This window comes from Homo sapiens, chromosome 2, assembly GCF_000001405.40.
Source record: "Homo sapiens chromosome 2, GRCh38.p14 Primary Assembly".
Lineage (NCBI taxonomy): Eukaryota > Metazoa > Chordata > Mammalia > Primates > Hominidae > Homo > Homo sapiens.
The window spans coordinates 199,645,466-199,671,562 of NC_000002.12; the positions used below are offsets into that span (position 1 = coordinate 199,645,466).

Here is a 26,097-nt window from a genome sequence, read left to right on the forward strand (position 1 = left end):
TCCAAACACTGCTCTGTCTGTCCAAGTGGGAGCTGTAATCTAGTCCTGCCTCCCATCTGCCATGATCCCCCCTCCTATTCATCTATTTTATTAAGTATTGATCAAATATATAACACTAAATTGGAGTTGAGAGAAAGCAAAAGAATGCTATATAGACTTTGACAGTTGTTGCAAGGGCTCAGTGGTTGACAGAAAGGTACTAGAAGGCACAAAGAACAAAGTTCCTTTAATATCGGTAAAAGCTACAAGAACGTAACTATATTAAGATGACCAATCACTGCCAAATGAAATCAGCTAACAAGGGTATGAATCATTTTGGGTCCTTCTAGAAGCTCCTTTTGCCATTTTCAGGAAGGTTTTAACCTCCAGCACCACCCAGTTGTTCTGTAGTCTCTGACTGTTGGACTGTCTGACTTACTAGGTGCAAGTGACTGACTGGTGAGCACCTAAGCACTTTGCCACTGAAAGTATGTTGTGATCCACAATCTGCATTTTAACATCTCCAGATTTATTTGCACATGAAAGTCTGAGAAGCATTTCCCTGATACACTTCTAAGTGCTTACCTGGGAAATGAGTGAATTTAAGGTCAGTTCTCATAGAGTCATTTCCCCAGGTGACCTCCACCTCCTCCCCAAGCAGGACTAGGCTGTAAAGTCTGCTGAGTGTCATCTTGGCAGTCCTTGTTCTTGAAGAGCACGAAATCTTGTTAAGGAGAAGAAACTTGCCTAAAATAACCCAGTGTCAAAGTTACTGATTTGGTAACAAACATATGATTATTAACATGAGAAATACAGAAAATAGTACCCTAGAAGTTCAAATAAAAGGTACAAGTTTATAGGTAAAAGCTGACACAGATTTTGTTTTTTAAAGTCCTTTCTGAAGAATAGAAACTCAATTCAGGCTCTAAAGCAGTGGTTCTAACTTGAGCATGCATCAGAATTATCTGGCGCCCCACCCCAGAGTTTTCTATGCAGTTAATTCTGAGATGGGGGCTGAGAATTTGCGTTTCTAACAACTTCTCAACCTCACCTCCACCTGCTCTGCTGATGCTGCCAGTGCAGGGACCACACTCTGAGAACCCCTGTTCCAAAGCAGTGGTTTTCAAACAGGGGTGGGGCAAGCAACATTGCTCCCAGGGGACATTTGGCAGTGTCTGCAGATATTTTCGGTGGTCACAAAGTGTGGGTGGGGGAACTACTGGCATCTGGTGGATGAAAGACACATTCTACAATGTGCAGGACATCCCTCCACAACAAAAGATTATCTGGCCCAAAATGTCAGTCTGCTGAGATTGAGAAACACTGCTCTAAAGCTCAACCTTGGCTGCCCATCAGAAACACCTGGGAAGACTTTAGACATCCTGATATCCAAACTGTACACCAGATCATTTAAACCAGAATCTCCAGGATTAGAACCTAGGTGATAAAAGTTTTTAAAGCTCCCCAGATAATTCTAACATGTAGCTGAAGCTGATGAGAATTCTTCTAAAGAATGGAAAATGTGTAAACAGACAAAACAGTTGAAAATCGTGCTGGTTAAAATATTTGCTTCCAGATTCACTCTCCATTTTTCTTTATTCTCTTCCAGTCTCCACGAGGCTGTCCAGAAACCAGATTACCCAGGGGCTGGCTCCCTTGCCCTCTGGCTTCTGGTTGGACTCAGCCAATAATAGGTACCACCTGGACATTGAAGGTGGAAAGGGAGAGATAACAGGTTATTATTTTTCCCACTTCCTCTGTGTGTTGCCATAATTCTGGCAGTAGTTTTGTTTCTCTATAGCTACATCTATTTGGGGGTAGCTGTTTATTTATTGCTTTAGCTCTCAATGAGGTTCTGGCCACTCCTTATTCTCCTGTGTCCCTTCAGGCCTAGGGTGGCAAAAGTTTGCTGCTGCTGCTAGCTAATGTCTTGGTACTTCAATATTCATTATTGATTTCTCAGCTCTGCACACATCTCTGCAAATTATCCCTTAACTTAAAAGTCACCTCAAAATTCCAGGTGAATGTGCTGTCTGTTTCCTGTGCAGTCACATGGGGCTCCATGCTCAGAAAGGTCCCATGCTTGGTTTAATGCTCTTCTGCAACAGTCTTGGAATTCTTAATATATTTGAACAAGAGGCCCTGCATTTTCTTCTTTCAGTGGGCCCTGAAAATTATGTAGTGATCCTGTTGCCAGGATTCTGACTGATATAAAGCTATTCTTGATAGGGAGGAAATGGCATGAATGAGACTTGAAGCTAAAAATGCACTTGCTGATTTGAAGAACATTAACTGTGGCTGTTTGTGACCTGGCTGGAAAGGACAACCCATCATCACATCTACTGGTAAACTTATGGTATCCAGAAAAAGCCAAAGGACTCTATTGCAAGACAGCATCACCTGGCTGCAGAGGTACCTAATTTGCCCTAGATGAGGTCATGGTGCTTGCTGGTTTACAAGTAATCAGTTTTTTTTTGTTGTTGTTGTTTTTAACCTAGTTTATTGAGGTGTAATTGACAAATAAAATTGTATATATTTAAGGTGTATAATGTAATGATTTGACATACACATACGATGTGAGATAATTACCACAATCAGGTTAATTAACACATCTATCACTTCACAGAATTATGATTTTGTGTAGTGACAACACTTGAAATCTACAACACTCAGAAATTTTCAAATATACAATACACTATTGTTAACTATAGTCACCTGTTGTAGATCAGATCTCCAAAATTTATTCATCTTATAACTGAACATTTGTATGCTTTGACCAACATCTTCTCATTTCCCCCAAACGATAGGATTTTATTCCTTTTTATGACTAAATAATATTTCATCATGTATGTATAAAATTCATTCATCTCTCAACAGACACTTAGGTTGTTTCCCTGTCTTGACTGTTGTGAATAATTCTGCAATGAACATGGGAGTGCAGATATCTATATTTGACATACAAATTTCATTTTCTTTGGATATACTTCCATGAGTGGGATTGCTTGATCAATGACAGTTCTATTATTAATTTTTTGAGAAACCTCTATACTGTTTTCATAATGGCTATACCAATTTACATTCCCACCAACAGTGCACAAGGTTCTCTTCTCTCCACATCTTCATCAACACTTGTATCTCTTGTCTTTTTTAATAGTAGCCATATTAATAGATGTGAGGTAGTACCTCATACCTCTATGTGGTTTTGATTTGCATTTCTCTGTTGATCAGTGATATGGAGCACCTTTTCATATACCTATTGGCCATTTGTATTGTTGTTATTTTGTTTTGTTTTGTTTTGTTTTTTTACTGAGTTGTATGAGTTCTTTATGTATCTTAGATATTAACCCCTTACTGGATATATGGTTTGCAGATATTTTCTTTTATTTTATAGGTGGCCTTTTACTTGTTTCCTTTGCTGTGCAGAAACTTTTAGTTTGATGTATTTCCACTTGTTTATTTTTACTTTTGTTGCCTATGCTTTTTGTATCATATCCAAAAAATCACTGCCAAGATCATTGTCAAGAAGGTTTTCTCCTATGTTTTTGTCTATGAGTTTTATAGATTCAGGTCTTATGTTTAAGTCTTTTATCTATCTTGAGTTAATTTTTGTGAGTGTTATTAGATAGGGGTCCGATTTCATTTTTTTACATGTGGACATTACAGTTTTCTCAACACAACACCATTTGTTGAAAAGACCATCCTTTCCCCTTGTTATTCTTGATACCCTTATCAAATATTATTTGACCATATATGCATAAGTTTATTTCTGGGCTATTATTCCATTGGCATATGAACAGGATTTATTCCAGGATAAATATGGAATAACTTTATTTTTGATTATTTTGAGTGTCTGATTTTATGCCAGTAAGATATTGCTTTTATTACTACAGCTTTGTAATACAGTTTGAAAGCAAGAAGTGTGATGATGCCTCCAGTTTTATTCCTTCTCGAGATTTCTTTGGCTATTCAGGGTCTTTCTTGATTCCATATGAACTTTAAAATTGTTTGTTCTATTTCTGCAAAAAAAATGCCATTGAAATTTTGATAGGGATTCTATTGAATCTATAGAAAACTTGGGGTGGTATGGGCATTTTAACAGTACTAATTCTTCCAACCCATGAACATGGGATATCTTTCCATTTAATTGTGCCTTCATCAATTTCTTCCATCAATATATTATAGTTTTCAGTGCATATATCTCTCATTTCCTTAAATTTTTTCTTAAGTATTTTATGTTTTGATGCTATTATAAATGGAATTCTTTTCTTTATACCTTTTTCAGATATTTTTGTCATTAATGTGTAGAAATTCAACGATTTTGTATATTGATTTTGTATCCTGCAACTTTACTGAATTCATTTATTAATTTTAGTTTAGTTTTAGATACTAAAGTTGTTTGGTATGGTCTTTAGGATTTCCTATATATAAAATCATGTTATCTGTAAACAGAATAATTTTACTTCTTCCTTTCTGATTTGGATGCCTTTTATTTCTTTTCCTTGCCTAATTTCTCTGGCTAGAACTTCCAGTACTATGTTGAATAGAATTGGTGAGAGTGAGCACTCTTGTCCTATTCCTGATCTTACAGGAAAAGGTTTTAGTTTTTCATAGTTGAGTATATAATATTATCTGTGAGTTTTACATGTATGGCCTTTTTATGTTAAGGTGCATTATTTTTATATCAATTTGTTGAGAGGTTTTATCATAAAAAGATGTTGAATATTGTCAATGCTTTTTATGCATGTATTGAGATAATCATGCTTTTTATCCATCATTTTGTTAATATGGTATATCACATTTATTGATTTGTGCATGATGAAGCATCCTTGCATTATGGGGATAAGTCTCACATGATCATGCTGTATGATTCTTCTAATGTGCTGTTGAATTTGGTTGCTAGTATTTTGTCAAAATTTTTGGCATCTATGTTCATCAGGGATATTGACCTGTACTTTTCTTTTCTTGTAATGTCTTTATCTAGCTTTATTATGGAGATAATACTGGCCTCATAAAATGAGGTTGAAACTGTTTCTTCCTCTTCAATTTTTTAAGAGAAGTGAAGAACACTTAGCATCAACTATTCTTTAAATTTTGGTAGAAATCACCAGTGAAGACTTATGCTCCTGGGCTTTGGCCTGTTGGGAGGTTTTTGATAACCAATTCAATCTTCTTATTTGTTATTGGTCTGTTCAGGCTTTCTATTTTTTTCATGATTCTGATTCAGTATCCATAGATCATATGTTTCTAAGAATTTATCCATTTCTTCTAGGTTATACAATTCATTGGTATATAGTTGTCCATAGTGGTCCTTTTTGTATTTCTGTGGTATCATTTGTAATGTCTCCTCTTTGTTCTTTTTATTTATTTGAGTCATCCCTTTTTTTGGTTAGTCTAGCTAAAGGTGTATCAATTTTGTTTATTTTTGTTAAAACTAACTCTTCGTTTTATTCTTTTTCATTGTTTCTCTGTTTTTGTGTTATTTATTTTAGCACTAATCTTTATTATTTTCTTTCTTCTGCTAACTTTGGGCTTGGTTTGTTCTTGTTTTGCTAGTTCCTTAAAGTGTAAAGTTAGATTATTTATTTGATATCTTTCTTTTTAAATATAGGCATTTATAGCTATAAACTTTCCTTTTATTTTTTATTTATTTATTTTTTTGAGACAGAGTTTCACTCTTGTTGCCAGGCTGGAATGCAATGGCGTAATCTCGGCTCATCACCACCTCTTCCTCCCGGGTTCAAGCAATTCTCCGGCCTCAGCCTCCCGAGTAGCTGGGATTACAGGCATGTGCCACCATGCCTGGCTAATTTTGTATTTTTAGTAGAGATGGGGTTTCACCATATTGGTCAGGCTGGTCTCAAACTCCCGACCTCAGGTGATCCACCCGCCTTGGTCTCCCAAAGTGCTGAGATTACAGGTGTGAGCTATCACGCCCAGCCTAAACTTTCCTTTTAGAACTGCTTTTGGTGCATCCATATCTTTTAGTTTGTTGTGTTTTCAATTTTGTTTCTCTCATAATAGCTTTAATTTCCCTTTTGATTTATTTTTGACCTGTTGGTCATTCAGGAGCATGTTGCTTCATTTCCATGGATTTGTGAATTTTCTAATTTTCCTCTTGTTACTGATTTCTAGTTTCCTACCTTTGTGGTCAGAAAAGATACTTGATATGATTTCAGTCTTCTTGAAACACATAATTTATCCTGGAGACTGTCCCATATGCACTTGAGAAAAAGGTATACTCTGTTGCTGTTGGATAAAATGTCCTATATGTGTCTGTTAGGTCCATTGATTATACAATGGTATTCAAATCCACTGCTTGCTTATTGATTTTCCTATGTGGTTGATCTATCCATTGTTGAGAGTGGGGTATTAAAGTATTCTACTGTTACTATATTGCTGTTTATTTCTCCTTTCAGTTATTTTAATATTTGTTTTATATAGTTAAGTGCTCTTACATTTAGTGCAGATATAGTTATAATTGTTATATATTCTTGATGAGTTGACCCATTTAACACTCTGTGATGATCTATTGTCTCTGTTGACAGTTTTTTATTGAAAGGCTCTTTTTTTCTAATGTAAGTATAGCCATCCTGCTTTCTTTTGGTTACCATTTGCATGGAATTTTTTTTTCTATTTTTTTCACCTTTCAGCCTATGCATGTTCTTAAAGCTAAAGTGAGTCTCTTGTGGGAAGCATGTACTTGGATCTTGTTTTTTTTTTTTTTTAATCCATCTAGCTACTCTATGTCTTTTGATTGAAGAATTTAATTCATTTATATTTAAAGTAATTATTGATAGGTAAGGATTTGCTATTGACATTTTGTTAATTGTTTTCTGACTGTTTTGTATTTCCTTTGTTCCTTTCGTTCTCTCTTGCTGTCTTCCCTTACAATTTGATTACTTCTGTGGTGACAGGCTCTGATTTCTTTCTCCGAATCTTTTGTATATCTACTACAGGTTTTTTTATTGTGGTTACCATGAGGCTGCATAAAACATTATAGTTATAACAACCAATTTTAAGGTCATACAACTTCATTTGCATATACAAATTGTATACTTTACTTCCCCTCCACACACATTTCAACTTATTGATGCTACAATGTAAATTTTTAAATATTATGTATCCATTAACAAATTACTGTGGCTTCAAAAATACATTTGTCTTTCACTCTTTTACTAGAGTTGAAAGCAGTTTATGCACAATTACAATATTACAGAATTCTGAATTTAACTATACTTTTTTTGCTAATGAGCTTTGTACAGTCATGTTTTTACATTTTTAATTAGCATCCTTTTCTTTTCAGTTTGAAGAACTTCCTTTATTATTTTTTTCCTTTTTTTTTTTTTTTTGAGACAGAGTCTCACTCTGTTGCCCAGACTGGGATGCAGTGGCATGATCTCAGCTCACTGCAATCTCCGCCTCCCAGGTTCAAGCAATTCTCTTGCCTCAATCTCCTGAGTAGCTGGAATTATAGACATCTGCCACCACCCCTGGCTAAAGTTTTTTGTATTTGTAGTAGAGACGGGGTTTCGCTATGTTGGCCAGGTTGGTCTCAAACTCCTGACCTCAAGTGATTCACCTACTTCAGCATCCCAAAGTGCTGAGATTACAGGCATGAGCCACCAAACCTGGTCAATTTTTTCCTATTATTTTTGAGACAAAGTCTTTCTCTGTTGCCCATGTGAAGTGCAATGGCACAATCACAGCTCATCGTAGCCTCGACCTCCCAAGCTCAAGTGATCCTCCCACCTCAGACTCCCAATGTGCTGGGGCTACAGGCATGAACCACTGTACCTGGCATCTTTATTATTTCTTGTAAGTCAAGTCTAGTGGTATTGAATGCCTCCAGTTTTTGTTTGTTTGGTAAAGTCTTCATCTCTCTTTCATTTCTGAAGAACAACGTTGTCAGATAAAGCATTCTTGGTTGACAGTTTCCCCCCCTTTCAGCACTTTGAATATATCATCCCACTCTGTCCTGGCCTGCAAAGTTTCTGCTCAAAAATTGTCTGATAGTCTTATGGTACTTTACTTGTATGTGATGTGAGTCAATTTTTTCTTCCTGATTTCAAAATTTTCTCTATCTTTGTCTTTTTGACAACTTAATTATACTGTGTCTCAGTGTATTCCTTTTCTGGTTCAAACTATTTGGGGATTTTTGCACCTTATGAATCTAGATGTCCATTTCTCTCCCCAAATTTGGGGAGTTTTCAGCCATTTCTGGACTCTCTGTTCTTGCCTATTGGTCTGTTTATCTGTTTTTTCAACAACACCACACTATCTGGAATACTATAGCTGTATAGTAAGTCTTGAAATTGGGTAGTGTCAGTCCTTTAACTTTGTTCTTCTCCTGCAATATTGAGTTGACTGGGTCTTTTGCCTCTGCATATAAACTTTAGAATCGGTTTGCTGATATTCATAAAATAACTTGCTGAGATTTTTATTGAGATTGCATTAAACCTATAGATCAAGTTGAAAAGAATTGATATATGTTTTTAATTTCAAATTCCTCTTGTTCATTGCTGGTATATAAGAAAGCAATTGACTTTTGTATATTAACTTTGTATTTTGCAAGCTTTCTATAATCATTTATAAGTTCCAGGAGTTTTTGTTGTTGACTCTCAGATTTTTTATGTAAGAAATCATGTTATCTTCAAACAAAGAAAATTTTACTTGTTTAATCTCAGTCTCTATAATATTTATTTATTTCATTTTCTTCTTTAATTGTGTTAGCAAGGACTACCAGTACAATGTTGAAAAGCACTGATGAAAGAGGACATGCTTGCCTTATTCCCAATCTTAGTCACCATTAAGTATAATGTTAGATATAGGTTTCTGTAGCTATTTTTTACCAAGCTGAGGAAATTCGCACTCTATTCCTAGTTTGCTGAGAATTTTTATAATGAATGGGGGTTAGATTTTTATCAAATGCTTTTTCTGCACCTATTAATATGATTATGTGATTTTTTTTCTTTTGCTTTTTGATGTGATGAATTACATTAATTGGTTTTCAAATGTTAAATCAGCCTTGCATACATGGGATAAATTCCAATTGGTCATATTGTATATTTCTTTTTTTAAATTATTGGATTCAATTTGCTAATATTTTGTTGAGGAGTTTTGCATTTATAAATTCATGAGAGGTATTGGTCTTCAGTTTTCCTTTCTTGTAATGTCTATGTGATTTTTGTCTTAGGGTAATGCTGGTCTCATAGAAAGAGTATTCCCTCTGTTTCTCTCCTTAGGAAGAGATTGCAGAAAATTGATGTAATTTCCTTCTTAAATATTTTGTAGAATTCACCAGTGAACCCATCTGTCATGGTAGGTTCATGACAGATGAGTCATTTCTTTTTTAGAATATTATTATTGATTTAACTTCTTTAATAGCTATAGACGATTTAGATTGTCTATTTCTTCATGTTTGGGTTTTGAAAACTTGTGTCTTCCAAAAAATGGGTCTATTTCATCTAGGTTATCAATTTATTGAGTATAGAGTTGATCATAATATTTATTTATTATCATTTTAATTATCATTTTAATGTCTATGGGGTCTGTACTGATGTTTCGTCTTTCATTTTTGATACTAATATTTGTGTCTTCCTTCTTTTTTTCTTAGCCTGGCTAGAGGCTTATCAGTTGTATTGATCTTTTAAAAAAAACCAGCTTCTGGCCTTTTGCTTCTGGTTTTGCTGGTTTTTCTCTGTTGATTTCCTGGTTTTAAATTTCACTGATTTCTGCACTTATTTTTTACTATTTCTGCTTACTTTGGATTTAATTTTTATTCTTTTCCTAGTTTCCTAAGGTGGAGATTTAGATTATTGAATCTTTCCTTTTTCTAATATATGCTTTCAATGCTATAAATTTCCTTCTAAGCACTGCTTTCACGTCATTCCCCAAATTTTGATAAGTTGTATTTTCATTTCCATTTAGTTCAAAATATCTTTAAACTTCTCTTGAAATTTCTTCTTTGAGCACGTGTTATTTAGAAACATGTTGTTTAATCTCCAAGTATTTGGGGATTTCCCAGCTACCTTTTTGTTGTCAATTTCTAGTTTAATTCCACTGTGGTCTGAGGGCAGACATTTTTTAATTTCTGTAATTTTAAATTTCTAAAGGTGTATTTTCAGCAGCCCAGAATTTGATCTATCTTGATAAATGTTCCATGTGAATTTAAGAAAAATGTGTAAACTGTTGTTGTTGGATGTAGTAGTCTATAGATGTCAATTATATACAGTTGACTGATGGGGCTGTTGAGTTAAATTATGTCCTTATTGATTTTCTGCCTGCTGGATCTGTTCATTTCTGACAGAGTGTTAAAGTCTGTAAGTACAAGAGTGAATTCATCTATTTTTCCTTGCAGTTCTATCAGTTTTTGTCTCACATATTTTGACAATCTGTTGTCATATATGTTAAAGTTTTTATATCTCCTTGGAGAACTGACCTCTTCATCATTATATAATGCTCCTCTTTATCCCTGATAACTTTCCTTGCTCTGAAGTCTGCTCTGTCTGAAATTAATATAGCTACTTTTACTTTTTAAATTAGTATTAGCATGGTATATCTATCTTCCTTCTTTTACTTTTAATCTATATATGTCTTTGTATTTAAAGTGGAATTCTTGCAGACAACGTGTAGTTGGGTCTTTTTTTTTAATCTACTCATCAATCTCTGCCATTCAATTGGTTTATTTAGACTATTGACACTTAAAGTGATTATTAATATAGTTGGATGAATATCTACTACATTTTTACTGTTTTCTATCTGTTGCCATTTTTCTTTGTTTTTATTTTTGTCTTCCATAGTTTTTCTGCCTTTTGTTGTTTTAATTTAGTATTTTATATAATTCCATCTTCTCTCCTTTCTTAGCATATTAGTCACGCTTCATCATGCTTCTTTTTTTTCTCTTTTAGTGGTTGTCTTAAAGTGTGCAATATACATTCACAACAAATCCAAGCCCACTTTAAAAAAACACTACACAACTTCACCATAGTGCAATTTCTTTTTTTTTCTTTTTGTTTTTTGAAACAGGGTCTTGCTCTGTCACAATTTATTGTCTGTTATTCTTTGTAATAACAGGATATTTCCAATTCTTCCCTTCCCTCCCTTGCCTCATTGCTGTCATTCATTTTACTTATATGTAAACATATCTATATTTATATCTATAAAATTGAATACATTGTTGATATTATTTTGAACAAATTGTTGTGTTAGATTAATTAAGAATAAGTAAAATAAGTTTTTATTTTACTTTCACTTACACATTCCCCCATGCTGTTCCTTTATGTTGATTTGAATTTCTGACCTATATAATTTTTCTTCTCTCTAAAGAACTTTTCTTAACATTTCTTGCAAGGCAGGTATATTTGCAGCAAATGTCCTCATTTTTGTTTTGCTGAGAAATTATTGATTTTTCTTTCAGTTTTGGGAATAATTTTATAGGGTACAAAATTCAGGGTTGATGGGGTTTTTTTCTTTAATTCTTTAAATGTTTCACTCCACTCTCTTCTTGCTTGTATAGTTTTCGGGGAGATGGAGACAATTCTTACCTTTGCTCCTCTCTAGGTAAGGAGTTTTTACTCTGGCTTCTTTCAAAAATTTTAAAAAATCTTTGATTCTCTGAAATTTGAAATATAAAATGCCCAGATTTTGTTTGGCAATTATCCTGCTTGGTGTTCTCTGAGGTTCCTGGATCTATGGTTTGGCATCTGACATTAATTTAAGGAAATTCTCAGTCATTATTGCTTCCAGTATTTCTTCTGTTCCTTTTCCCTTTTTTCTCCATCTGGTATTTGCATTAAACAAATGGTATACCTTTTTTTAGTTGTCCTACAGTCCTTGGATATTCTGTTCTGTTTTTTCAGTCTCTTTTCTCTTTGCTTTTCTGTTTTGGGAGTTTCTGTTGTCATATATCTTCAAGCTCACAGATTATTTCCTCAGGAATGTCCAGTCTACTGATAAGCCCATGAAAGGCATTTTTCATTTCTGCTACAGTATTTTTTATCTCTAGTACATGTTTTTACTCTTTTTTAGAATCTCCATCTCTCTGCTTACATTATTTACCTGTTCTTGCATGTTGTCTCCTTTATCCATTAAAGCTCTTAGCATACTAGTAATTATTTGTTTTAATTCCTGGTTAAATATCAACATTTCTGATGTATCTAACTCTGGTTCTGATGCTTGTCAGTCTCTTCAAACCATACTTGTTGCCTTTTTGGATACCTTATAATTTTTCTGTTAAAAGGTAGACATGATTCGTGGGGTAAAATGATGTATAGGGTAAATAGGCCTTTAATAATATGGTAGTAAGGCAAAGTGGTTTTCTATATTCCTGTGATTAGTTCTCAGTCTTTTAGGGAGGCTGTGCCCCTGAACTATGACCTTTACCAGTGCTTCTCAGTTTTCTGCCCTCTCCCTGTGAGACAGGATGGGTGGAAAAAGTTGGAGTTGGGTATTTCTCCTTTTCCATGTGGAAAACTGGAGTTGTGCATTTCTCTTCCCCTTGGTGGGTAAGGCTCTGATTAAACCCCAGCAGATTCGGGTCTGATAAAATAGTTTCTCCTGAGGACAGGCCTTGTTAAGAAGAACAGAATATGGAGGTTTCTGTTTGTGGGTGTCTATTCTAGTAAATTGTGATTCTCTGTGTTCCCCTGCCGGTCTTTCCAATTTTGAAGTTTTCCCTGTGTCCTCACTCCTCTTACAGATACAAGAAGAGTTGTTGGTTTTTTAGATTCTTCAGCTTTTTACTTCTTTTGCTTATTTTAACAAGAGTACTAATACCAAGTGTCAGCAAGTGTCAGTGAGAGTAAAAAATGATGCAACCACTTTAGACAAACAATCTGACAGTTTCTTATAAAGTTGAATATATACTTATCATAGAACCCATCAATTTCACTTTTAGGTACTTACCCAAGAAAAATGAAACCTATGTTCTCACAAAGACCAGTACATAAACGTTCATAGTAGCTTTATTCATAATAACCAAAAGTTGTGAACAGCCTAAATGTAACCTACTGATACAGGCAATACAAATCAATCTGAAAACATGATGTTGTGTGAAAGAAGTCAGACACAAAAGAGTACATATTTTGTAATTGAATTTATATCAAATTCTACAACAGACAAAACTAATCTATTGTGGTGTAAAGTACATCAGTGTTTTCCGAGGGTCTGTAGGGGAGGGGATTGAATGCAAAGGAACATGAAGAAACTTTCTGGGTGATGTAGATGTTTTTATATCCTGATTGTGGTGATGGTAGTTCCACAGATGTACAGATTTGTAAAACTCATCTAAATGTACGCTTAAAATGGGTGCATTTTATTCATGTAAATTATACCTTGATAAAGTTGATTTTTTAAAAAAAGTAAGTTCTCATGGTAACTGAGAAACTATGACAATAATCTAATTCTCCAAACCACTGTGATATACTCAAGTCTAACTTACCAATGATAAATTAACCCCTTACACTTGAAGGCATTTAAGTAACTAGCTTCCTTTATTAATGAACTGAAATAACTTCCTATAATACCATCAGTAAAATAATTACATTCATTTCTCTTTCAGACTTACTAAATAAATGCTACTACTTTCAAATACACCAAGGAATAAAAGAATTTATATTTAAAGTGTTTGGAGAGTAAACATTTTACAGTATTTATAACATTCCCTAAGTAAATAAAGCATTTAAAAATTACTTCCTTTATGTTTTAAATATGCTGTATTATGTTGAATGGCCTTTAAACACAAAACCCAGCACATGAGAAGTTCCAAGGTGTCATCTAGGTCTTCACTTCTGTGTCTGCTCTGAGTTGTTACAGAAAATTGCCTACACTTGGGGAACGCGGCGCCCCGGCCGCCGCAGAGCCGAGCCGAGCCAGGCGAGCCCCCGCGGCGCCCAAGCGCGGGCCCCCCAGCCGCCGCCGGGCGCGGCATTTTTATTCAAGCGAGATAACGGAGCCCGGCCGCGCCCGGTGCATTGTGGGAACGGCCCGCGGCCCGTTTTCGGGAGGAGGCGGAGGGCGCGAAGCGAGCTGGTGGATCCGTAAAGAACCCAGCCAACCCCCAGAGGGAGGGGAGGGGCTGAGCTGTGAGGAGAGCGGGGCACAAGAACCATGTGTACGCGGGAGTCCTTTTAACCCAGAAAGTTACGAATTGGACAGGAGCTTCTGGCTAACCAGATTCACTGAACTGAAGGGTACAGGCTGCAAAGTGCCCCAAGATGTCCTGCAAAAATTTCTGGAATCTTTACAGAAGAACCACTTCCAAGAAGATGAGCAGTTTCTGGGAGCCGTTATGCCAAGGCTTGGCATTGGAATGGATACTTGTGTCATTCCTTTGAGGCACGGTGGGCTTTCCTTGGTTCAAACCATAGATTACGTTTACCCGATGGTAGACGACCCTTACATGATGGGCAGGATAGCATGTGTCAGTCAATGTCCTCAGTGACCTCTACGCAACGGGGGTCATGGAATGCGACAATATGCTGATGCTCCTCGGAGTCAGTAATAAAATGACTGACAGGGAAAGGGATAAAGTGATGCCTCAGATTATCCAAGGTTTTAAAGACGCAGCTGAAGACGCAGGAGCGTCTGTAACAGGCGGCCAAACAGTTCTAAACCCCTGGATTGTCCTGGGAGGAGTCGCTACCACTGTCTGCCAGCCCAATGAATTTATCATGCAGACAATGCAGTGCCAGGAGACATGCTGGTGTAGACAAAACCCCTGGGGACACAGGTGGCAATGGCTGTGCACCAGTGGCTGGATATTCCTAAGAAATGGAATAAGATTAAACTAGTGGTCACCCAAGAAGATGTAGAGCTGGCCTACCAGGAGGCGATGATGAACATGGCAAGGCTCAACGGGACAGCTGCCGGACTCATGCACACGTTCAATGCCCACGCGGCCACTGACATCAAGGGCTTTGGGATCTGGGGCCACGTGCAGAACCTGGCCAAGCAGCAGAGGAACGAGGTGTCATTTGTAATTCACAACCTCCCGGTGCTGGCCAAGATGGCTGCAGCGAGCAAGGCGTGCGGAAACATGTTCGGCCTCATGCACAGGACCTGCCCAGAGACCTCAGGCGGCCTTCTGATCTGTTTACCACATCAGCAAGCAGCTCGGTTCTGTGCAGAGATAAAGTCCCCCAAATATGGTGAAGGCCACCAAGCATGGATTATTGGGATTGTAGAGAAGGGCAACTGCACAGCCAGAATCATAGACAAACCCTGGATCATCGAGGTCGCACCACAAGTGGCCACCCAAAATATGAATCCCACACCTGGGCCACCTCTTTTTTTTTTTTTTTTTTTTTTTTTTTTGTGAGACGGAGTCTCGCTCTGTCGCTCAGGCTGGAGTGCAGTGGCGCCATCTCGGCCCACTGCAAGCTCCGCCTCCCAGGTTCACGCCATTCTCCTGCCTCAGCCTCCCGAGTAGCTGGGACTACAGGCGTGCACCACCACGCCCGGCTAATATTTTTTTGTATTTTTAGTAGAGACGGGTTTTCACCGTGTTAGCCAGGATGGTCTCGATCTCCTGACCTTGTGATCCGCCCGCCTAGGCCTCCCAAAGTGCTGGGATTACATGCTTGACGGGGCCACCTCTTAATCTAGACAGAAATAGCTGTTTGGTTTTGTTTTTAAATAGACCTATTTCCTTTATCATCACTTCAATTAAAGACTATAAACAACAGAAATCTCATTGTGTCTACACATCGGGTGACCTTAGGTCGGTTTGTAAGTGGATACAATTAATAAAATAAAATCCGTCACCTTTTTTTCCTGTTACATTAACTGAAGATGCACCCAATCTTGAGGCAGCTTCTGAGTTGAGAATTATATTGTTATCCAATACTGTTGATTCATTTTGAATCTTTAGACACTTATCTCTTGCTGCATAGGCTCTTTTTAAAGGTGCTTTCACATAGCACAGACATTACCAGTAGTCTTGTCAAATAGCAGTTGGTGTCTTCATTTTATGTATATTTATCATAAGTCTGATTTTTTTTAAGCGTCTTGAATGGTTTTCTGGAGAGACAGCATTGATAAGTGGCACATGACGGTATCTCAGTCATAAGAGGGTTGCATGATTCCTTTGAATGTTTGATTTGGAAAAGCCTAGTCTTGTCTCTCAAGAGCATCTCAGACCCAGAACATTCTCTAGTAGTGCACTCAGTTAAACAGGGCAAGTGCTTCACTGCATGGAAAACACTTTGAAGAGACAAAAAAGAAATCTTATTTCTTTTTTGTAGCCTTTCTGATATTTACAATAATACCACTAACTGTTTTCTTTATCGATAGCAAAGAACGATACTTTTTGCAATGTAATTAGACGTTCTATAGTGCTACAAGGAAATGCCTTCCAAAAGGAGGCTCATGTATAATACTCATTTACAAAATATATAATTACGCAAATAAATTTTAAATATAATCAATAATAAAGACTGTTCTGTGGATGTTAGTGTTTAATACATTTTCTATTTTGTACAGTGATTTCAGGCCTTTTGTTTTCTTGAAATCAGCAGATATTTAGCCTAATTCTTAGCATTATTTTGTCCTTTGCACCAGTACTTTTTTGTGCACGCTTTTTGTGATCTGTGTTAAAAACCTGCATGGCCAACATTGCAGCTCCAACTTAAACTTGTTATTCAAATAAATATTTAATTTTTTAAATTGCTCTTGTATAATCAGATTCCCCTTTTAGTATTATTTTAGAAGCATTGGGAGGGTTTTGCCTAAAGTACAATTTATTGGGAAAAACTAGATTTTAGTTTTATAAAACTTTTAAGTCTTTCATGGGACCTATATTTAGGTGTTATCTGTGTTGCATAAAGTGGAGGCTTCCTTATATTTTAACCTACTAAGCAATTGAGGGATTCCTGTCATTAAGCACAAGCACTGGATCCTCAAGTGCCCATCTTCATCAGAGAAAAAATAGCACATCCTGCACGTTTCTGGTGCTTCCTGCTCACAGGCACCAAAGCCGCACACATAAACTGACTTACTGCCAAAGGAAATGACCCCCTGCGAAGATGGAGCTCCTGGAAGAGGCTTTAACTTGGATGCGCCCTCGTCCAGGAACCAGCGGGAAGGGCAGCCTTTATGCGTGTGTAACTAGACCTTCAGCCATAAGCATGGTGCGCAGCATGGAAGAGCCTGCTATGGAACTGAAATTGATTGAACATTTTATAGGAATTGATACAGATGTTGGTCCTAAAAAGCTACAAACCAGTGGTCTGCAAAATAAAATGTGTTGGAAACCTCTGAGTAAGAAAAAAGAAAAAGAAAATTGCCTACATTTGTTATTTCAGAGTTCATGAAACTGTACAAATTCTATTCACAATTTTGTGGGGGTAAAACATATGAGCCCAATAAGAATGATTTTTATTTAAATCATAAAGAATTCATTGAAAATTATTAACAATAACTTATATAATATTTTGATGCTATAGAAGAAAAAGGACAACCCAACAATTAACACATACTCTTGGGTTTTAAAGATTAGCCTCAAAAGATAAGATATTGTTACCATCTTATGCAAACAAATCCTATCATTTCCTTGGACATATCCTGAGTAGAATACAAACCCTTATGGTACCATCTAATAGGGTTTAAGATTTTAACACCAAAATAAATTCTTCATTTATTAAAATTTTATAACAAAACAACATTCTTTTCAAAAGGATTCAATCATAAAAAGGAAAGGAGACAGGCTGGGAAACATGGCGAAAACCCATCTCTACAAAAAATACAAAAATTAGCTGGGTGTAGTGGCACACACCTGTATTCTCAGCGACTTGGGAGGGAGGTGGGAGGATCACCTGAGCCCAGGAGGTCAAGACTGCAGTGAGTCGTGATTGTGCAACTACATTCCAGCCTGGGTGACAGAGAGAAACCCTTTCTCAAAAAAAAAAAAAAAAAAAAAAAAAAAAGGAGAACCGAAAGAGGAGAAAAATCTTACAGAGAATGTCAGTTTCAGGATTATGTTCTAGTGACCTGAATCTATACATTCATCGACAGAGACGTGACTCCCACAGTTTGTTTTGCAGATAGCTGTAAAGTAATTACACAAATTGCACCAAGTTCTTTCCAGATGAACTGAACACTTAGAACTAGAGAGTGTTGCCAATTTGATCAGAAATTAGATGTGATTCTGAGATTGAGAAAATTGCAGAAATATGATTTTTGAGATTTTGAGAAAATAATTCTTCTCTTCTTCAAGCTGTACAATGGGATCTATAGACAAAGCAAACTCTTCTATCTATACAGAAGAATGTTATCTCTGAGACTTTTGAATATCTATTTTTGAATTATACATAATCAGGAAACTCAGGGCTTATCTTCCTTCAAAACTCCTCCACTAAAATAGAATGATTTACTGGAAAGTTACTTGCCATATTCTGCATCTTCAAAGACGAGATCTCCTTTATTTCTCTACCACAAAGTGTTCTTTAGAATTTTTCATTGTATCGATATAAATTGATGCCAGTCATTACTACACGAAAGATGAAACTGCAACCTCTACACAAGTCCAAGTAACAGGATTCACACAGGGAGAGACGGATACACTGACGTGCTCTTCAGTGACTGATGGACTGTGTTTTCTGTTTAAAAAAAAAAAAGTACTATAATTGAACAAGCCCCCAGAGCATTAAAAAAAAAGTGTAAAAATAAATATAAGGAGAGTAACTAACAAATTTAAAAATATATAATCAATAAAGATCGGTGATATTGTAGCATTTCAAGATAAAACTACATCTTCAACTATTTTTAAAATGTTTTCCATTTGGCAGAACCCCAAATGGGCTTTGCCAAGCACTTTTTCTTCTTAATTTTTAAATGCGTATGTATTTCAAGGAAAATTTAATCCATATGTTCTTCTCTCATTTACACAATTTATCAAAATGTTGCTTTGAATGAGCCATTTAATGTCTAAGAAAACTGAAGAACACTTCTTTTTCCCCCAATACAAGATTTTAGCTTTTTTCTTCCTGAATTAAATATGTGTTCAGTACTACCTACAGAGCTAATTGAAAAATATTCAATTCTGCTTTAATATCCAGAACCAAAAGTCTAATAAAATTTGAAATAACAGAAAAGCATAAAATCCATTATAATACTATACTTTTAAGCTTCAAAAGCCTCCATTATTCACACGGTTCCTATAAATCACAGAATACTGGAACTTAAAGATATCTTAGAAATGACAAGTTTTTTTCTCTCACTTTAAAAACTAGGAAACTGAGTCCCCAAAAAGCCAAAGAATATGCCAAAAATCACAAAACTAATTAATGGCGGAGCCAAGGCATGTGTCTTCCCATTGGAATTACTTCTTTGGTTTTTTTAAATTTTAATTATGATTTTATTCTATAACATATAACAGTGTCAGCATAATACTAGATTATGAAAAAACAGTGGAGCTCATTTCTGCATAAAATTTACTCGCCTGCTGCCAATAGCCTGGACAACCAGTAGGCTAGGAATCAATGGCCCAATTCGCCATATAATCCTAGTCATATCTATCTTTACTATGCCCATAAAGGGAAGTGATGAATCTGTTTAAAAGAAAAATTAAGTCCAAGTACACTCTCAACATTTACCAGCAAGATGCTACAGGAAAACACGCTGATTATGTTAACTGATAAGAATATTTCTTCTTCCCTTCCTTATCCTCTCCTTCCTTCTACTTCTCTTTCCAGAGGGGATCATTTTGGGATACACAGAAACCTGGGGATGGGCATACCATGGAGTCTGGAGGGGCTCAGTAGTGACATGAGCCCATGGGATGGGATCAAGATACACCTTTGCTTCAGCCTCCGTCACCAGTGTCTTTAGACACCCCAGTTTCTTCAGGTAGGCAAAAAGGCACACAGGAATAAAAGACTGCTATCCCCAGGGAAATGAAAGTAGAGAACAAGCCAGGCATGGTGGCTCATGCTTGTAATACCAGCATTTTGACAGGCCGAGGCAGGCAGATTACCTGAGGTCAGGAGTTCAAGACCAGCCTGGCCAATGTGGTGAAACCCCGTCTCTACTAAAAATACAAAAAAATTAGCTGGGGTGGTGGTGCACACTTGTAATCCCAACTATTCAGGAGGCTGAGGTAGGAGAATCACTTGAACCAGGGAGGCAGAAGTTGCAATGAGCCGAGATCGTGCCATTTGCATATCAGCCTGGGCAACAAGAGCAAAACTTCGTCTTAAAAAAAAAAAAAAAAAAAGAATAAAGAAAGAAAGAAGAGAACGGCCGGGCGCGGTGGCTCAAGCCTGTAATCCCACCACTTTGGGAGGCCGAGGCGGGTGGATCGCGAGGTCAGGAGATCGAGAAAGAAGAGAACAGAGAGGATTATGGCTTCTTTTTGTCAGGTCAGGAGGCAGTCATAAACTACAGACCACAAATCACAATCAAAAGAACTTTGTAAGGCCCTGTTACCTCATAACTAACTAATGTTTAGATTGTGTTACTGTTTTGTAGCAGTAATTACCAGCAAAACCCTATTTTTTTCTAATGTGATGGGAAAGGGCATATAGTATGTGCCTGCCTTTTAGGAGTAACAAAGGAGAAATCTGGGAGAAACCAAAATGACATAGTGCAGAGCAGCTCAGTCACTTCCTTGTGATTTAACCTGCTAAAGTTACTTAACCTGTATCTCAGTTTCCTCACCTATAAATATGGAATAATATAGGACCTACTTCACAAGGATTAGCAAAATAATGCATGTAAAGCACTAAAGACAGTGTTTGCATATAACAAGTGTTCAATAAAAATAATTGTGGTTGCTCCATCATCTTTTTAAACTAAAATAGGAAAACAAGCTGAATTTCTAGGACTTGTGGCAAATAAAGAAAAAACGCACACACAGGAAGATAATTTAGGACTGATAAGGAAGGACCCCTGAGTCTAAGCAATCAAAGAGCTATTACAGATTTGCTGAATTCTAGACCCAACTGTATACTCTAAACAAAAAACAAGGACTCAATTAATGGTACTATAGCACATGCCCATGTTACGCATACATGTGGCATTTGAAAAATGGTCACACTGCCTTTTTCTCTCTTGACATCCAACTGTCAAAAAGAACTTCATATATTCAATGATTGGACAGCCATTAGAATCCAATGCAAAACACTCACAACTCTCCTCAGAACTCTTGGTTTTAGAAATGGTAGCTTTGGCAATAACCTTAATGATGTGATACCTTGGTCCAGGGTGGTGGCTCACACCTGTCATCCCAGCACTTTGGGAGGCCGAGGTGGGCAGATCACAAGGTCAGGAGTTCGAGACCAGCCTGACCAACATGGTGAAGCCCCGTCTCTACTAAAAATACAAAAATTAGCCAGGCATGGTGGTGCATGCCTGTAATCCCAGCTACTCAGGAGGCTGAGGCAGAATTTCTTGACCCCAGGAGGCGAGGTTGCAGTGAGTGGAGATTGCGCCACTGCACTCCAGGCTGGGCAACAGAGCAAGAGTCCATCTCAAAAAAAAAAAAAAAAGTGATACCTTTGGGGATCTAGTGAAGTGGAGTTGCTTTTCCTTGGTGGAGTTTTTCTCTTTTGTCTATACTATGATTCGTCAGACCAGGTGTAAATACATTGGAAAGCACACTGGCTTGAGGAGTGGGGACTGTGATTGCAACCTAAGTGCCACTCTGAAGATGACATTCTATTCCTAGGAGGCTTTTTTCTATGTAAAAATGAGGTTAAATTTGGTGATCATAAATGCCCCTACCACTCTAACATTTTATGGACTTATAATGATACAGTTATAAAATAGTGAGTTGGTTTTCCTGTCCATTATTACTCTAACTTCAGAACTGGTTTTTATATAGCACCTTTCTTTGAAAGGTCTAGGCATTGTGTACAGACGACCAAGAAAATGGAGAGGAATGTTGAGATAAAATATACCTTAGAGTTGGATCTGGGGCTGGACATGGTAGCTCATCCCTGTAATCCCAGGACTTTGGGAGGCCAAGATGGGAGGCTCGCGAGACAGCAAGAATTGGAGACTAGCCAGGGCAACATAGTGAGACCTCGTCTCTACAAAAAACAAACAAACAAACAAACAAAAAACAACAATACATTAGCTGGGTGTGGTGGCATGCACGTAGTGGGAGGACTGCTTGAGCCTGGGAGGTCGAGGCTTCAGTAAGCTGAGATTGCACCACTGCACTCCAGCCTTGGCAACAGAGTGAGACCCTGTCTCAAGAAAACAAAACAAAATAAAAATAAATAAATAAATCAAAGAAAATAGAATTGGATCTGGGTTCAGATGTGGGTTCTTCCACTTTATTAGTGGCTTGGTATTGAGCCAATTAATGTGTCTGAGTCTAAATTTGTTCTGTCATGAAATATGATTATTTAACTTCTTCACAGGGTTGCTCAAGGATTAAATGAGGCATAAGCCTCATAGTAAGTGCTCTATAGAAGGGAGCTATGAGAGTGGCAAGAGAAGAAACAATGAACTCAAGCATCTGAAAAGGTCTTGCATCACAAGAGAAAGACAATATGCACAAAAAATAGTAGTCACCGAACCCAAAATATTATTTTTATTTTACATCATGTGCTAAAATACTATTAGTAGAGATGCAGAGGAAGCAGTGTGATGGTGCTTGCTGACAGCATTAATGAAGAACTCCCCTTAGAACTCTTGGGCTTTGCTGAATGCTTTCACAGTTGTTGTTTTAAATTACACCACACGCTTGACCACATTGTATTCACAGTGCCAGACATTTTGGACCTACTGGAAACAAATATATATTATATTGATGACTAAGTGAAACATCTCATATTTAAGTGATAAAAATATTATTTTTAACTTTAAAGTTTAAAAATTGATGAGTCTGAAATACCTTAAAAATAGTTTTTCATAAATAGGAGGGAGTACATGAGAATATGCCCAAAGAGGTTGATTTTATACCGCACATAGCAGTAGTGAACAAATGTCCTATAATCAGAAGGTCTTCAGAAATGGAAACTTCTCCCTTAATACAAGTAGACTTTAATGATGCAATCTGCATAGTATCTCCAGGCATGGCCAATGAAGGACCCACTTGACCTTCAGATGAGCAGGTCTGGGAGCTGAGATCTACCCTCAGAGATAAGAGGTAAGGCAGGACTGCTGTATTCAAGTTTTCAGTTGACAGAGGAAGTAAGGAACCAAGAGATCAGGGATTACTCTGCCACTACTCTGAGACCTCCCCTTGGTTGTTATGTTTGTCACCCCAGTCAGTTTCCTATTATTATTATTACTAATAAAATACCTAAAATAATATTTTTAAAAATATATGCTTTCTGAAGTAGTCGTGAGTAACTGCTTCACACTGCAGCCAGACTCAGATTTGGAGACAAAAATTGCAAAGAGTAGAGAGAAACAGCTGTGGAAGAATTAAGGAAGCAGGCTGAGTTCCCAGGGGAACTCGGGAAGAAAGGAGAAAGAATCAGATCTGGGCCAGAGAAGAAATTCTGGGAATCCCAGATACAGTGTAGGATGAAGCAAAGAAACTGTTGTATCTCAGATTGTAATAATTCAAGCTTTTCTTTTTTTTTCCTCTAGGCTTACAATCTATTTTAAAATCTGTAGTCTAGTACGTAATAATTCTTTCTTACAACTTTTTCACAGTGCTTTCTGAAAGAATTTATTTCGCGGGTTTGGGGAATGCTGAGAAGTCCAACTCACTAGGAAATAAATTCAACTTAACTGAACTTCCTGGATAACCAATATATGAATTTATCTTTCAATTCAAGAATGAACAGAGCATTGTTAACTAAATATCATGGTTTTCTGCCTTTGAGAAGAGACTAGAAAGACTTCAGCTGAACCAATTCAGAATATTTTAGATAGGTCTTCAGCTGAAATCTGGAAATCAAAGCAAAAGAGAAAAAAATAAATAAATAAAAGCAAAGTTTGTGAGCTTTGGGAAACAAACAGCTTGGAGGAAAAGCTAATTTTCAAAGGTTTCCATCTGCCCCATGACCATTCCCTTCTCTTCTAGGACCCTCCCGCCTCTCCTCATTTTAGTTTTGAGTTAGAAATACTGGAACTGATCATTTTTCAGCCTCAATAAGTCCTTGCTAATTATTTTAACATTTCAGGTTCAGGAAACCCAAACCCAGTGTTTGTTAAGTGCTCTTTGCCTTGATTTGTGCGTCCTCTTATATTTCAAGGGAAGTCGAGTCCATGTGTTTCTGATTCGTTTTTATTTAACTCATCAAGACATTGTTTCATAAAGGCCATTTGATGTCCAAAGATTCTGCCGAACCTTTTGTTTGTGAAACCATAAAGCCAGTAAAATAATACACAGTTTATAACAAAAGAACAGAATTAGGAAATCCAGGAATGAACTATTCTTACCTCCGTCCTTGATTTGCTTTTATGCAATGCTGGGTCACTCTTCCAGATGTTATCTACATAAAGATAATATTTTATACAAGATTTGGGGAATTTTATAATAAAATATAATTTTCGGGAGTCTTAAGAGAAAGGCATGTTATAAACCAATACCAAAATAGCTCTCAAGTTGAAACAATGAGTTTTTTCCTAGTTTTGAGATTGATGTAGTGGCTCTCCTGGGCAAGTACTACAATTCAAAATTAAAATTTCAAATGGTGATTACATGAAACATAATGTTTCTACCTGCAAGCATAATCCTTACATGGATTTATACCCTGGGAAAGTTACTATATTCCTACTGTTTTCCTTTTTTGAGACATCAATCCTTTTAATAATTTGCAGAAAGATAATGGGTAGATATTTGTGATAGAGAGAACTTTCTGTTTCTGGCTTAAAAGCAGAGATTCTCCTAATATTTAATTTTGGAATGCCAAATACTGGAAGTCACCTCTAAATGAAGTGGCAGCAAATTTAGCAGGTATCAACAATGAGATTTTTAAACTTAAATTTATTTCAGCTTTCCAGTAGGTGCATTTACCTGCTGTCACTTTCCAGTCTCTGGGTTTTTAAGTAGAAACCCTGATTATTTACCAAGGCAAAATAGGACTCAAGAATCAGTTTTGTCTAGGATCAATGGCAGAAATCAAGAGACTTTTCAATCAAAATAACAAGGAAGTTGCAGAAAACACATTCAGGCAAAGTAATAAGGTCTTTCTCTCTTTTTTGTATCAGTAGAAGAGAAGAGAGTGACTGATGGGGGTTGATGGAGACCTTTAAACCTTAGCTTTTCCGCAAACCACTTGTTCCCCAAAACTCACAGACTTTGTATGTATGTATATATGTATGTATGTGTGTGTGTATACATCTTCTCTTGATCACTTTATCTCCAAGCAGTGGCCTAGTATCAGGCAAAGGGCACAGTTGAACATGGCACAAGAGACACTAGAGCAGGCTGAGATGCACAGGCAGAGTCAGTAGACTCATAGCTCCCCTTTCCTACTAAGAGGTTGGTTAGATGGGCCAGATACAGTACACAAGAGGGGCCCAGTCCCCTCTTCTTCTGTCCTTCTATAAGGCTCACATGACAGTAGCCTTGTGAAAAGAGGGCTAAATAACCTAAGTTTTACTACCAGCTTCTCGGAAGAAGTACACGCCAGTGCTGAGCATACAAGCTGCCCAGATGGCTCTTGCCAGGCAACCTAGAGAAGGTCAGTGGAAAACCCTGTCTGTGTTTCCATAAATGGCAAGTGTCAAGACCCATTAGGAGAGTACCTACTGCTTGGCTTGCCCGGGAAGTGGGAAGAGGAAACCAGGAAAGGCATAATATCTGTATTAAATCCATGGCAAAAAAAAAAAAAAGGTAGCCTTCTAGGAGCTCACAGCCTAGTGAATGAAGTCAGAAAATAAATAATGACCACACAACATGGAAAAGGGTCTTGTAGAGGCCTAAGCACCATCAGTGATATCATAAATGAGGTGGTGATCAACTCTGGTGGCAAAAGGGAGAGTTCTTGGAAGCCACCCCAAGAAGCATATGCTTATGATGGGAGGGCAGCCTATGGGAGTGCAGGTTGGGAGAAGGGCATTCCAGGCAGAGGGAACCACATGTAGGCAAGAGCCCTAATTACAAACAAGTTAAAGAAAGTTTGAAAGGAAAAAAAAAACCTCCCAAACTCTCTTACATATCCTGGACGAGTCAAGTCATAAGAACCTGAAGTTTGACAATATGCAAAAGTTTTC

At 37.0% G+C, this 26,097-nt stretch overlaps 1 protein-coding gene, 1 long non-coding RNA gene and 1 pseudogene across 4 annotated transcripts in view; 2 read left to right on the forward strand and 1 right to left on the reverse strand.

Annotated features, from left to right (window-relative positions):
• The window catches only part of LINC01877 (long intergenic non-protein coding RNA 1877), a 51,065-nt gene extending 37,398 nt beyond the window's left edge, over window positions 1-13,667 (forward strand). Inside the window, exons 6-7 of the long non-coding RNA NR_110270.1 lie at window positions 2,209-2,391; window positions 13,538-13,667. This is a non-coding gene — a long non-coding RNA (long intergenic non-protein coding RNA 1877). The remainder of the gene's footprint in view (window positions 1-2,208; window positions 2,392-13,537) is intronic.
• SEPHS1P6 (selenophosphate synthetase 1 pseudogene 6) lies at window positions 13,887-15,265 on the forward strand (annotated as a pseudogene).
• Window positions 18,370-26,097, reverse strand: part of FTCDNL1 (formiminotransferase cyclodeaminase N-terminal like) — a 187,358-nt gene continuing 179,630 nt past the window's right edge. For 2 of the 3 annotated variants that reach the window (XM_024452863.2, XM_024452852.2), the window contains 2 exons: window positions 21,873-22,004; window positions 18,485-18,572 (listed from right to left, as the gene is read on the reverse strand). In XM_024452863.2, coding sequence (XP_024308631.1) covers window positions 21,874-22,004 — 131 coding nt within the window. In that variant the 3' untranslated portion in view covers window positions 18,485-18,572; window position 21,873. Of the gene's footprint in view, window positions 18,573-21,872; window positions 22,005-26,097 lie in introns of all 3 variants that reach the window. The other variant, XM_024452865.2, reaches the window with a different exon arrangement.